This window comes from Homo sapiens, chromosome 3 (assembly GCF_000001405.40).
Source record: "Homo sapiens chromosome 3, GRCh38.p14 Primary Assembly".
Classification (NCBI taxonomy): domain Eukaryota; kingdom Metazoa; phylum Chordata; class Mammalia; order Primates; family Hominidae; genus Homo; species Homo sapiens.
Window position 1 is genome coordinate 40,323,333 of NC_000003.12, and position 15,701 is coordinate 40,339,033.

At 42.3% G+C, this 15,701-nt stretch overlaps 1 annotated feature.

The window, feature by feature from the left end:
- Positions 14,331 to 14,380: an enhancer, noted in NCBI's record as "active region_19715". NCBI's record gives its function as "activates an Ori minimal core promoter by ATAC-STARR-seq in GM12878 lymphoblastoid cells {active_cell/tissue: GM12878}" and the evidence as "EXISTENCE:reporter gene assay evidence [ECO:0000049][PMID:35858748]".

Sequence of the window (15,701 nt, forward strand, 5' to 3'; positions counted from 1 at the left end):
CTAGGCCACTGCCACAAGGTCTTTTTAAACAGCTTTATTGAGATATAATTCACCTAGCAAAAAATTCAGCTATTTAAAGTGTACAGTCCAGTGTGGTTTTAGTATATTCCTAAAGTTGTACAACATCATTACAATCAGTTGTGGAATATTTTCATCACCCCCCAAAGAAACGTTGTACCCATTAGCAGTCATTCCTCATTCACGTGTTTTCTTCTAGGAATGTAGTTTTAGGTCTTACATTTAAGTCTTTGGTCCAGTCTCAATTAACTTTTGTGTATTGGTATAAGGTAGGAATCCAAATTCATGCTTGTACATGTAGATAACCAGTTATTCCAGCACCATTTGTTAAAAACACTAGTCTTTCGCCCATTGGATCATCCTGGCACCCTTATTGAAAATCAATTGGCCGTAGATGAGAGTTTATTTCTGGACTTGCAATTCTATTTCATTGATCTGTTTATGTATCTTTATGCCAAAACCACACTGTCTTAATTACTGCAACTTTGTAGTGAGTTTGAAATTGGGAATGTGAGTCCTCTAACTGTTCTTTTCCAAGATTGTTTTGGCTTGTCCATGTCTCTTCCAGTTCAGCTAGTTACAAAGTATCATTTTGCCTCTCATCTGAGGCTGTGTCCTGTACATAGGTTTTTCTCAGGAACCTTGTCGGGAGGTCTTGAATCAGGAGTGACTGAATGCCCTAGCCATCTTCCCAGCTCATGGTATCCCAATCTCATCTTTATACCAACGCTATAAACTACCTAGCCCAACTATGTCACTCAACCTGGCTCCTAAAATCCCAGCCTGAGCCAGAGTCCTTCTCCCCAAATGCCTGAGGGCAGAGCAGCTCCACGATAAAACCCAAGTAAGCTCCCCGGGTGTTTGCAGTCTCACAATGATTGGGTTTTCCTCTGCTAGGAAAAGAGAGAGAATTTAAAAATATGTAAACGTAAACAACATTTATTTTGAAAATGTTTTCTTTTTCTTGTTTTTCTTGCTATGGGTTTCTATTAAATCTAAATTAGTATAAGAATCCTAGAAGAAAGCCTAGGAAATACCACGCTGGACATGGGCCTTAGGAAAGAATTTATGACAAAGTCCTCAAAAGCAATTGCAACAACAAAAAAAATTGACAAATGAGAGGTAAAGAGCTTCTGCACAGCAGAGGAAACTGTTAGCAGAGTAAACAGACAAGACAACCTACAGAATGGAAGAAAATATTTGCAAACTATGCACCCAGCAAAGGTCTAATATCCAGAATCTATAAGAAACTTAAATAATTAAACACGCAAAAAACAACAACAACAAAGAACTGCATTAAAAAATGGGCAAAAGACATGAGAAGACACTTTTCAAAAGAAGACATACAAGTGGCCAACAAACATGACAAAATGCTCAACGTCACTAATCATAAGAGAAATGCAAATCAAAACCACAATGAGATACCATCCCACCGCAGTCACAATGGCCATTATTAAAAAGTCAAAAAACAGCAGATGTTGGTGAGGCTGTGGAGAAACGGGAACACTTATAATACTGTTGGTGGGAATGTAAATTAGTTTAACTACTGTGGAAAGCAGTTTGGAGATTTAAAACAGAACTACCATTTGACTCAGCAATCCCATTACTGTATGTTCATTCAAAAGCAAGCAAATCATTCTACCGAAAAGACACATACACTCACATGTTCACTGCAGCACTATTCACAATAGCAAAGTCATGGAATCAACCTAGGTGCCCATCAACAGTGGATTGGATAAAGAAAATGTGGCATATATACACCATGGAATACTATGGAGCCATATAAAAGAATGAAATCATGTCCTTTGCAACAACATGGATGCAGCTGGAGGCCATTATCCTAAGAAAATTAAAGCAGGAACAGAAAACCAAATACCACATGTTCTCACTTATAAGTGGGAGCTAAACATCAGGTACTCATGGCATAACGATGGCAGCAATAGACACTGGGGACTACTAGAGTAGGGAGGAAGGGAGAAGGGCAAGGGTCAAAAAACTAACTGTTGGGTACTGTGCTCAGCACCTGAGTGACAGAATTATTTGTACCCCAAACTTCAGCATCACACAGTATACCCAGGTCACAAACCTGCACTTGTACCCCCTGAATCCAAAATAAAAGTTGAATAGGAAAAAATAAAATAAAATAAAGTTCTGTAATGATACTTTAACACAAACTTTTTCTGTAAATATTAATAGTAAATATTTTAGGCTCACAGGTTGTATGATCTCTGCTGCAAATACTCAACTCTGCCATTGAAGCAAGAAACTGCCATAGAGTATATAAATGAATGAATGTGGCTGTGTTCCAATAAAACTTTATTTATAGACACTAAAATTGCAATTTTATATAATTTTCAGATGTCACAAAATACTATTCACCTTTTGATTTTTTTTCACTAACCATTTTTAAATGGGGGATAATTCCTTTCTTAACTATAGTTAACTATACTTTTTGGACCACATGAAAACAATAGGTAGGACAGAATTTAGTCTGAGATCCACAGTTTTCTGACCCTGGATTTAATGTGACACAGGAATCATGGCACTTGAAGGAACCACACACTGAACCAAGAACTTTTGATTAAGCAGCTCATTCCAATTAAAATAGTATTTGCAGCACCACAGTTGGCCTCAGGTTTTAACCTGAAGCCCCTAAAAGTAGGTTAGCCCAGTAACAGTGGATAAAAGCCTATTTAGAGAGACATTTCCAAAGCATGCCAGAGAGAGACCTGAGTTAGAGGCCACTTGGCCTTAAGGTCCTTGGATATTTTCCCCAGGTGGTCAGGGCCATGTTAGTACCTGTGTCCGAGGACCGAAATTGCCTCCATGGATTCCAGAGTTGCAACACACATCCTTGTTCAATTTAGAGAGGGAGAGAAAAAAATAAAACATCATTCAGAATTGCCTTTTTGACACAGGCAGTGTTGGTGTCATGAGGACTTTTTGCTAAAAGGCCTAGATTCTGTCCTGGCTCTGCTGTCAGCTCCTGTGACCAGGAGACGCTCTAAGCCCTGACTGCCCAGTCAAAATCCTGGTGCTGTTGATTTCTAGCTGTGCCATATTAGAAATCAAAAAGCCTCAGTTTGTTGATTTCTAACAAACTGAGAGATACCTCCATTTCCATATATATAAAGTGGAGATATATCTCCCAAGCCTCTGTTTCCATACCTATAAAGTGGAGATGATGATGATAGCCTCAGGGACTCATTGTGGGGATTTTATTGCATAGTGCTTTGCACATAATATGCATTTAACAAATGTTAGCTTTTCATTATTACATATCAAGGGAGAAAACATTGGTCATGCTATCTTTATGGAAATCAAAGAGGAAAGGATATGAAAATGTGAAAGGGTGAGATCTAATGTGGAATTTCAATCGTCTTTTTACAAGCAGAGCTGTGGAACCCTGGGACTAACCCTTTGTAGTTATAGCTCCATTTTTTTTTTTTTGGCAACTTTTCTCTTTTTTTTTTTCTTGATCAGTGTTGCCAGAGGCTTATCAGTTTTTATTCTTTCATCTTTTCAAAAAACCAACCTCTAGCTTTAGTGATTCTTCCTATTACATGCTTATTTTCTGTTTTATTAGTTTCTTCCCTTATGAGTTTTCTTCCTCCTACTTTCTTTGCATATTCTTTTTGTAACTTCTCAATTTAGTTGCTTAGCCCATTAACTTTTAACTTCTTTTCGAATGTAAGCACGTAAGGATGTAAATTTCCCTTGCGCAGCCTGCAGATTTTGATATTTAGTATTTTTGTTAACATTCACGTGCAAACATTTTCTTTTCTTTCTTTCTTTCTTTTTTTTTAGACGGAGTCCCGCTCTGTCGCTCAGGCTGGAGTGCAGTGGAGCGATCTCAGCTCACTGCAAGCTCCGCCTGCCGGGTTCACGCCATTTTCCTGCCTCTGCTTCCCGAGTAGCTGGGACTACAGGCGCCCGCCACCACGCCCGGCTAATTTTTTGTATTTTTAGTAGAGACAGGGTTTCACCGTGTTAGCCAGGACGGTCTCGATCTCCTGACCTCATGATCCGCCCGCCTCGGCCTCCCAAAGTGCTGGGATTACAGGCGTGAGCCACCGCGTCCGGCCTACATACAACCATTTTCTAATGCCTGTTTAATAAGGTGTCCTCCACTCCTTGGGGAGCTCTGTGGTCTATCGCCCTGCTCAAAGCCTTCAGAAATACGCAGTGCTGTTGGCATCCTCCTCAACCTTGTTCGTTTTCACTACTTGTGGCAAAACTAATTCAAATATTACATGTGGATATAATTAGGTGTTAACTGATTTCCTTGAAGACAGCATTAACTTTCCACTTTCTCATTATCTTGGGTGTTTCTATGCCTCACAGTGTGGCAGGGATATTTTTACTCTGCTTTAGTTAACCGCAAATCCACAGGTGTGTTTTGTACTTTCACTAGTTGAAAACTGGTAGATGCAGTACTCACACATGGCCAAGAGATGGTGCTATTGACCCATTTAGGTCCAGCCTTTATGTTTTGTATGCTGTAGTCATCTAATTTGCTTGCTTGTCTTTGAGTTTGTTTCAGAGAAAAGGTCCAACATCAGAAGAGTTGAGAGGTTATATGATACTGGCTAAACTCTTAGATCCTCTAGGCACTCAAGAAAAAAACATAACAAATAAAAACTCTGGTTTTAAAGATGCAGAGAAATGTCTGGCAATGCACCCTCAGGGGACCTCTCATTCCAGAAGTCTAGAAACCTCCCAGAAGGAAGAAGCACTTGCTTTCCTGTGTCCCTATGTTTGCGAAAGCTACTCAGCCATTCCCTGGAGAGGTTTCTCTTGGTGCAGTCTCTCAGCTGACGTTTTGGATCACAAATGAGCAGTCCGCACATAACTCAATTTCAAGAGTTAAAAATCTTAGCCTTTAGTTGGGAACAATTTTCCAACAAACAGGATGTGGAAGTGATGTTATCTGAGGGAAGACATGGTGCCTCTGAGCTGTTAGACCTTTCCAAACTACACATATGCCTGGCCTGTGTTCACAAGTATACACACACACACACACACACCCGCCCCCCCCCCACACACACACTCATTCCCCTTCTCTCTCTCAAGTGACCTGATCTCCAATCCCTCTGCAGCCTCCTGAGGGCTTCTTATTCTTTAATATGAATGAGAGTCACCAGGCAAGTTTATTAAAATGCAGATTCCAACTCAGGAGGCCTGGAGTGGCCCAAGGCTCTGCATTTTTAACAAGCTCCCAGGGGATACCGGCCATCTGGGTTTGCAGGCCACATTCTGAGGAGTAGAGGTTCGTGGCAGTGCAGAGTGGCATAATGACAGGCATCAATGTGGTTGATTCAGAGATGCCCCAGTGTTACCGGATCAAACCCAGGGTCGGGCTGCTTATTCTCAAGGCCCAGTAATGAGATGCAGATGAACTGGGAGAGAAGAGAATTTATTTCTGTAACCGGGTAGGCAGACCAACTTAAAATTACAAAGCTTTCCATTGTTTATATACCTTCTAAGCTATATGTCTATGTGTAAGTGCATTCATCTAAAGACATAAGTGGTTAACTTCTCCTAATATAACTAAGGTCTGAGTTTTGAAGACCTTTCTCTGGAGCCTCAGTAAATTTACTTAATCTAGATGGCTCCAGGTGCCGGAGTGATTACCCTTATCTCGTCTCCTGCTAAATCATGGAGGTTTGAGGAGTTCCTTTAGACCATCCTCCCCACCCCCCTGCCCAGTAAAACTTGTTTGTGGAGGTCTGGGGAGTTTCTTCAGACCCCCAATAAAACTTGTTTAATCCTACATGGGTCCTGTTAAGAATTCCTTCGTTATCGTGTCAGGCTTCAAGGCCCAGGAAAGGCCTAGGCAAAACTCTTGGTGGGCTTTGTTACATTCCAGCCTTTGCATAAGGAGACTGGCTCTATTAGCTTTTAATATTTAACCTAACCACTCAGTCAGTGCCGCAACAGTTGTCATGGAGGCTTGCCTGTTCAGCTGTTAGTGAGACCTGGCCTGCCATGCCAGGACTCAGAATCAGAAGCCCTGGATTCAGATTCGGGCTCTACCACTTTCCAGCTTTATGGCCTGATCAAGCCAAAGCCAGCCAGTCTCTCACAGCCTCAGTTTTCTCAGCAGCAACTTAAGGATAATTGTGCCTCGGATCAGAATGACTATTCTCGGCACAAAATGAGATGATGTGTATGGCATCAAATTCAATGCCTTGCCATAGAAAGTGCTTGGTTATGCTTTTTAGGAAATGTGAGACTTACGCATAAAATGGCAATGTGAATACTGGAGTTGAACACCTGGAGCTACTTCTAGTGCCTCATGGAAATGACCTATGGAATCATTTTCTAAACTTCCTTGATCATTAAAATTACCAGGACACTGTGAAAAACACAAACTCTTAAGACCTGTCATCTCCCAGATCCTGAACTCGAATCTCTGTGGAGGAGAGGGGCTTACATTTCTAACAAGTGCTCAGAAGGATTCGTGAGATCAGGCATGTTTGAAACACTAGCCTACAGAATATAAAAATATGGAAAAACCTGCCTTCATTCTGGAAACTAGAAAAAGGTACCCTGTATCTGTCTGAAACAGCAGCATTTTTCTGTTATCTATCATAAGGATGGGGCCAAAGGCAGCCTAGAAAGACAGCTCCAACACTCTAGTGAAAGATGGAAGTAGGAGAAAGTGGGGAAGACCAGTCACCAAACAGACCCCTACAAAGCCCTTGACTCAGAGGGCTGCAGGCAGGCCTGGAGGGGCCTCCAGGCTTCCATCCAAGGGGTATCTGCACTCCTGGAAGGCAGGGAGTGGGGCTTCCTGCTTGGCAACAGGGGAAACCACATGCACTGAAACCCTCATCTGGGGTCTGCTTCTCCTGGGAGGATGAATATAGGGAGGAAAATCAGCAGGATCACGAAGACATTACAATGTTGTGCACACCAAAATTTAACATAAGAATTCCCTTCCCTCTAGCAATTCACTTCTGGGAATTTATGACAAGTAAACAATCAAGCCGTGGGACAAAATTGAATGCATTCAGATGTTCAATGCACTATTGTTTATAACACTGAAAATTTTGAAACAACAGGAGAATGGTTAAATCAATGAGAACTGAAAAGGATTTAGGCAGGCAAAGAGTGGGAGGTGGCAAGCTTCAGAAGGAGGGCTTGGCAAACGCAAAGTCTTCCCGTGAGAAAGCAGTGGACCTGAGTGATTGGAGCACAGGATGGGGACATAGGTTGGCATGAGAGGAGTGAAGCTGAGAAGCAAGCCAATTAGACAGGGCCTCACAGACCATGGCAAGATGCATGAATGCTATCTGAGGGCATTGATGAGTTCCAAGCATGGGAGCAGAACAATTGGATTTATTCTAAGAAGCTGATTATGGCTGTTAGTCAGAGAGAGGAACGTACAGAAAGCAAGAGCAGAGGCGAAAAGGCCAATGAGAGGCTACTACACGTGGAATGATGGTGGTAAAGAGGCAGAGAAGTGGGTGGACAAGAGACTCGCTTGGAGATAGAATTAACAGGACTTGCTGTTGTGTTGGCCATAAGTGGCAAGGAAAAGATGACTTCCAGGATTTTATCTTTGGAAATTGGGTGGCTGGGAGTGACATTATTAAAATGAGGGAGGCTGGGGTAGAAAGACAGGATTGAGGAGTGGAAACAAGAATTCCATTTTGAACATGTTGAATTTTTTTTTTTTTAATAGAGACAGGGTCTCACTATGTTGCCCAACTGGTCTTAAAATCCTGGGCTCAAATGTTCCTCCCACCTCAACCTCCCAAAGTGCTGGGATTACAGGTGTGAGACATCACACCTACCCTGAACATGTTAAGTTTTAAATGCCTAAGAGACATCCAATCAGAGATGTCAAGCAACTAGTTGGATTTGTAAGTCTGGAGCTCAGAGAAGACATAAATTCAGGAGGTATCAGCCCATAGAATATTTTTAAAGCCATGAATGAATGAGTTTCTTTAGGAATGTATAAAGAGGGCCCAGAAGAAATCCATATGGAACACTAAAAACGCTAGTTTTGAAGAAGTATATCTGGTGTGACATCATTTTGGTTAAAAAACAAAGCCCCAAAATTCCATCATAACATAAACGCAGAAGATATCTGCATAAATAAATATTCATCTAACGGTTTATGGGGGTTATCTCTGGATAGTTGGGAGCAAAACGCTCATTGACACCCATGAAAGTCAGGTCTATGCCCAAGAACCTTTTTGCACCTGGTCTTTCCCAAATGGCTGCTTAAGGGACCCAGGAGGAGGAGCCTGGAAGTTATGGTGCCCGATTTGATGATGAACCTAGGAGAAGCCACTCTGCATTTGTTACCCAAGGGAATAGGAGGAATGGGAGGGCTTTCATTTTCTCAGTTGTATATTTCTGTCAACATTAAAACTTTTATAAAGAACATCATTATTACTTTTGTAGATAGAGAAAAACAATAAATAAAATTATTTTAAATGGTGGCATCCATTGTTGGTGAAGCCACTGTACAGTGGAAACGCACATCTCTTTGGAGAAAATGTGAATTGGTATGACTTTCTGAAATGACATTTGAATGAATTTGAATGAATTTCATGCAAATGAAATTTTATGTCAAGCTCCTTAAAATGTTCATATCTTTTCACATTCAGGCACCTATGCTAGGGAAATAATCAGAGATGGGTGTTAGGAACCATGGAAAGATTTCAGTAGTTTTAAGATAACAATTTGGCCTGGGTCCATGAACCCTACAAATGCCCCCAACTTGGCTGGGTCCAGCCATCCCTTATCTCCATAACATCTTTAAGGGAGCTGTACACACAAGGAACAAGGAATGTATGGGACACCAAATGACCACTGACGATTCCCTACCTCATGTCTGCACCTTTGCCTGCAGAACTCCATGGAGTGCGTGCTTCTTAGCCCAAGGCCCCAGGGAAGTTTCTCCCAAGCCCAGTTTCTGGATGAATACACATGAAATGGTGAGGTGGCTGAGTCCACTCTGGAAGACCGGGCCTCCTTGCGTGGTTGAGAGGAGAACATCAGAGACAGGGACCATGCTCAAATGCACCAGCTTTTAATAACTGGGTTTGGTACCATGGCTTGTCACCCCACTCCACCCCAACCACCAGAATAAAAACGTATTATTAGACTCTAGCAGAGGCCGACTCACCCTGAAACAAACACACTGGGACTTTCTGGTGCCTCGCCTGTCCAGGCCTCCTCCTTGCCCCTGAGCCTAGTATTGCATTCATTCATATGCTTTTATTCCTTTCTTAAAGGGGGTCTCTAAAACTGCATAAGTCTCAGGTCCCAGCAGACTGGGATGTTCTTGCTTTCAGAAATTTGAGATGGGAAATAAGAAAATAATCCAGCCGTTGGTGGTAGGAGCTGCAGCTGTCTGAAAGGAGGGATCATGAGGGACCCTGAGGAGAGCAGAGCAATGAGCACGCCAGAGATTTGTTTCAGCTGGCCTTGTGAGAGCACTAGGCCTGGAGAGTGAAAAGGAAGATGCAAGTGCCGGCAGAGCTGCGGTGTTGCGGGGAGGAGTGAATGAGTGAGTGTGATGATGCATGACTGCCTGAGCTTGCACTCTGCACAGTGAGTGCTTGCTGAACTTCGTCGGTATAGTTATTGTTAGCACTGCTGATATTACTGTGAAGGTCCGCGCACTCCATTTCCTGGGGTCCTTGGAGCCTGGTTCTGCTCTGGATAAAATGGTCAGGGAAGTCTAACACGCAGCTCTGAGTACACCCCCTGAAGGGGACAGAAGCTGAGAAATTGACCCTCCTCCACTTCACACGTACACCAGAATAGGGAGACCACGGGACAAAGCGCTCATTGACACCCATGAAAGTTAGGTCTGTCCCCAAGAACGCCTTTCCACCTGGTCTTTCCCAGATGGCTGCTTGAAGGGCTCAGGAGGAGGAGCCTGCAAGTCATGGTAACCGATTTGATGATGAACCTATGAGAAGCCACTCGCATTTGCTACCCCAGGCCACCCACATTGGTGTTCTTTGTTTCTACTACTAGTTTACAACATCTTTCTATTCTACTGCCAGGGAGGAAAAAAGGTGTTCCACAAAACTGCCCAAGAGGACATACCTAGGAGGAGCGTCTGACATCAGCGGGGATCTTTGTGCTGCCCTTTCAAACCCTCGCCTCACTAATTACCCAGCAGGAGACAGCCAGCTCCATCCATATTGGAGTTTCACCTTTAATTAAACTTTAATTCACTCATGCCTTATCCTTGTGGCCACATGCTGCTGGGAATCAGTGCCACAGCAACTTGGACCCAGGCCAGAACCTTGCAGAAGAACACCCAGAGGCATCACCAAGTAAAAATAGACTTTCCTGACTATTAAATCCAACACTGTACTCAGGGAACCAACAAGAGTGCTCTCAAGGAAAGCTGTGATCTGCCTATAGGCAAAGAATGGATGATTTCAGTAATTCCTCCCCTCCCCTCCCCGCCCCAACTACACAGGGAGACTCAAACAAACTAGGATTATACAATTACCCATTTAACTTCATCTCATTTCCGATAAGAAGTAATCAGGGGAAGCATAAGAAAACCAAGAACTTCCAACCACTCACATTTATGAAGTGCTAACTCCGTGCCAGGCATGATGGGGAAATGAGATGAAATCAGCTTTCTGTAGACATTGTCAGGGCCCTGCCTACTGTGCACCTGGCAGTCACCTACAGTTCCCACAGGCCCACAGCTTCCTACCCTACACATCTGCATGTCTCTGACAGGCCATTCTCTGGCTGTGGGCATGTGCGGCAAGTCAGCAGGACTGCCCGGAAGTGCCAGGGAGTTAATGCTCCAGGAGTGGTTCCAATGAGGGACAGGAGCTGGTGGACAAACACCCCAGCTTCCTCAACTATTGGTTCCACTTCTTCTCTCAGAATGTCTCTCAGAAGGTCCCCCAGGAGGGAGCCCCAGGTGACTGCCCTAGCCTCCAGCTCATTAATTCACCTTGTATTGGCTTTCATTCTTCTCTGACTCACTTCCCTTCTCTCTCACCAAGCTTTTAGGAATCACTTTTCAGATAAACTACTTGCACCCAATCCTAGTCTCAGTGTCAGCTTTTGGAGGAACACTAACGAAGACACAATTTTAGTCTTAACCTTGATGATAATGACACAAGTTAACTTTAATAAACGTGAAGGCCTAAAACTCAAATATCCATAAGCCAAAAGCCAATGTGATCAAATATCTAAGGCCAAACCCAAGTGGGGCCTAAGGGGCCCTGGAGAGCAGGTATCCTCTTTGGGAGGTAGCTACTAGTCTACTCAAGAGGCTGTTTCCATGCAAGAAGGTGGGGCCAGTATTGTTAGAGCTTCCAATTTTTAAAGAGATGCTGGAATTCTGCATTTTTATATGGACTTTCCCAATTTTTGAATGTTGAAATCAACTCAAAAATTTGAAAGCACTATGAAGCCCAAGAGAAATCCATCCATGGACAAGAGCATGCCCACAGACCCCAGTTTGTGACCTCTGGTTCCACTGGATTTAATAATCCAGCAGCCACTGTTGACCCTTCCCAGGGCAGTTTAAATTGAGTAGTGAGGCCAGAAAGCATATTGTGGAGAGCTGAGAAAAGAATTGGAAGTGAGAAAATAGAGAAAGCCAGTATAGATGATTCTTTCCAGAGCAGAGATAGAGTAGTAGATATTGAAGTGAAATAAATATTTTAATTCTTAAAGTTTGGGCACTCAAAAATACCTTTAAACCAGGAGGCAAGATCAAGGATTAAAGAACAGGATGAAGACAGTGGAGAGACAGGGAGTAACCAATTGAGTAAAGTCCCTCAGCGAAGGCAAGAACAGGCGGGCTAGCTGTGGGATTGGCCTTCAACATGAGGAAAGCCTACCATTCTCTGAAATGTGGGGCAGAAGATACATGACACACTAAGGTAAAGAATCTCTAAAGTATCCTAAGGCAGAGCAGCTCATTAAAAAAAAAAAAAAAAATTTTCGGGCATGGTAGCTCACTCCCGTAATCCCAGCACTTTGGGAGGCCAAGGCAGGTGAATCATTTGAGGTCAGGAGTTCAAGACCAGCTTGGCCAACATGGTGAGACCCCATCTCTACTAAAAATATAAAAATTATCTAGGCATGATGGCACATGCCTGTAATCCCAGCTACTTGGGAGGCTGAGGCAGGAGAATGGCTTGAATCCCAGAGGCGGCGGTTGCAGTGAGCCGAGATTGCACCACTGCACTCCAGCCTGGGCAACAGAGTGAAACTCTGTCTCAAAAAAAAAAATTGACTAGGTATTTTTATTTTTATTTTATTATCTAATTATAAAATTAATATGTGTTTATTTTGGAAATGTTGGAAAATATAGAAAATAATAAAGATGAAATTAAACATTTCCTGTTATTCCACATCCTAGAAAGAACTGTTGCTGGAAAAGGGATATTGATTCCAGGCCCCAAGAGAGGGTTCTTAGATCTCACACAAGAAGGAATTCAAGGCACATCGCAGAGTGCAGTGAGAAGAGATAGTTTATTGAAAGCTACTCAGTTACAGAGTAGGGCATCCTCAGAAAGCAAGAAGAAGACTGCCTTGTCTTTTTTTTGAAGTTTTACTTATATAGGGTCTAGTCTATGTAAAAGCTAAGCTAAGGTATGTCTACATGCAGGTGGGCTGACAGCATAGCAAAATTTATTACTCTGTTTAGTTAAAGAAAACTATCCTTCTATAATCCCAGCACTTTGATAGGCCAAGGCAGGAGGATCGGTTGAGCCCAGGAGTTTGAGACCAGCCTGGGCAATATAGTGAGACCCTGTCTCTAAAAAAAGAGAAAGAAAGAAAAATAAAAAATAAAACGATCCTTGACATTTTAGTGTGCAATTACATCAAAGCATAATTATCTTGAAAGCATATATGGTCATGGGTATTGGGACATCTGGACTTTCCATTGTTGTAGGAGTGTGTCCTTGCAGGTATCTTTAAACTGTTTCCTCAATGGTGAATATCTTATGACTATGTGTCATGACCCACAAGGAATGTGTCTTGTTAGTCCCAAGAGGGAGCTGATATTAAAATTATGTTACTGTGGCTCTCCTGGGCTCCTGTTTCCCTAACAGAACCACTGTTAGTATTTGTGACTATATGTTTTTCATTCAAAGTGGGCTTATACTATACATACTGCTTTGTAAACTGACTTTTTAATTTTGTAACATATAATGGACATTTTTCCACACCATTAGATATTGTTTTAAGATATGACTAGTTACAGTCACACCGTATTTTCCAAATATACCCACATCCACATATCTGCCATCCACATGCTCTTCTTACAGTGTGACATTCACGTGCTTCCATCAAGAAGTGAGGTCTCTGTTTCCTCCCTTTGAACCTGGCCAGACTTTTGTAACTGCCACAGTCAATAGAATGTGGCATAAGTGATGCTGTGTGCCTTCCAAGGCTAGTTCATAAAGACAACATGGCTCTGTTTTTTACTTTTTGTTTTTTGCCTTTGGAACCAAACCACATTTGTGAGGAAGTCAGGTCTATATGGAAAGGCCATATGTGAATGTTCCAGCTGACTGACCCACTTGGGCCTCTAGCTCATATCAGCATCTGCCAACACGTGAGCAAACAAGTCTTCCAAGATAGCAGACTTTAGGTCTTCCACTTAAAGCCCCAGGCATTACAGAGTAGAAATAGGCCTTACTCCCTGCTGCCTAAGTTCCTGATCACAAATTCCGTGAGAGATAGTAAGTGATCATTGCTAGAGAACCAAAGCAGTATTGCATTTCATGGATATATCACAATATTGCCCTTTTGGGGGGCTTTAGATTGTCTCTAATTTTCTGCTATTATAAATAACACTGAATGAACCTCCACGTAGCTGATTCTTTGTCTAATTAACATCTCTTTCCTAAGAATAAATGTATAGATGAGCAATAATTAGGTCAAAGGATATGATCATTTTAAAGGCTTTGGAAACACATTGCTCAATTGCTTTCTAGAATTGTTGAGTCAATTTACATTCTCACAATTAGTGTATGAAAGTGTGTGAAAGCATTCAGTGAGTTATTCTTAGTCACTGGCCTCTGACGACTTTACATTTCTTTTCCTCGAACTGTCATCCCCACCCCATCTTTGTTAATTTTTGAGGCTTGTGATTCTGGAGATTGGCAACAAATTAGTGGATACCATGTTGGGAGTTGTTCAGGGCAAGGAATAGATGGAAACTGCTGGTAGTGGGCCATGGGGCCAGGCAGCTTTGCTCAGAACAGGGATCCAAGGAGGGCTATCAAGGTTGATCACACCACAAACCAGAGGCTCCTCCTACCCAGACTGGATGACGCCTGGGATAGAAGCTCCAACTGCAGCACTAAGCCCAGGAAATACACCTGTCCCTGCCGTGCTCCTTAAGAGGGTTGATAATAGACGTAGGGATACCCTTTCTTGTCATTTGTTGTTTTTGTTGAGATAAAATTCACATATCATAACATGAGCCGTTTAAAGGAAACAGTTCAGCGGCATTTAATAGTCACAATATTGTACAACCACTGCATCTATCTAGTTTCAAAACATTTCATTGCCCCAAAGGGAAACCCCATACCCATTAGGCAGTTACTCCCCATACCCTTCCTTCCAGTGCCTAGCAACCAGCAATCTGTTTTCTGTCTCTATGAATTGATCTATTCTGGGTATTTCATATAAATAGAATCATGCAATATGTGACCTTTTGTGCCTGGCTTTTGAGGTTTATCCACTTTGTGCACGTATACATCCTTCCTTTCTCCTATTATTTCTGAATAATATTCCATTATATGGATATACCACAATTTGTTTGTCCATTCATCATCATTTATGAACATTTAGGTTGTTTCTAATATTTTTTAACCAAAACATGTGTATTAGAACTTTCCCACAGATAGCCATTTTTGTCACTTTTCTGGTCAAATCTTCACAATAAGTTCTTAGACTCAATTATTATTATTATTTGAGATGGCATCTTGCTCTGTCACACAGGCTAGAGTGCAGTGGCGCAATCTCGGCTCACTGCAACCTCTGCCTCCTGGGTTCAAGCACTTCTGCCTCAGCCTCCTGAGTAGCTGGGACTACAGGTGTGTGCCACCATGGCCAGCTAATTTTTATATTTTTAGTAGAGACAGGATTTCACCATGTTGGCCAGGCTGGTCTCGAACTCCTGACCTCAGGTGATCCGTCCACCTCAGCCTCCCAAAGTGCTGGGATTACAGGCATAAGCCACCGCGCCTGGCCTCTGAGACTCAATTATTAAGGAATATTCATCACTCTATAACTCACCCCTGAAAATCACTTGATTCCTTAATGAAGCCCTTCTTTAACTCGACCTGGAATCAATTTCTCTCGTTTACTTTAAAAGCAAAACAAAAACCTTTCCACTGAGTCTATCAGGCAACTTTACAGGAAATCAAAGCATTTTTTGATAGCACAGGCCTTAAAAGAAGATATTCAAATGGAGTTGAGACAAACCAGATTGTTCTAGAAGGCATTTCTGATTTCTTTAGCGAAATCTGGGCCAAAGAAATGGTCACTAACACGCTCCTTTGTACTTCCACATAGTTTAATACATTAAGCACTCAACTAAAAAGGGAGAAGAAGCCAGGCATTTGAGTGTTAGTGCAAAGAAGCCAAAGAAAGAATCAGTGGCACCAACTTTCTCTACCCAGTCTGTTTTTCCACCACAGGACTCTTGT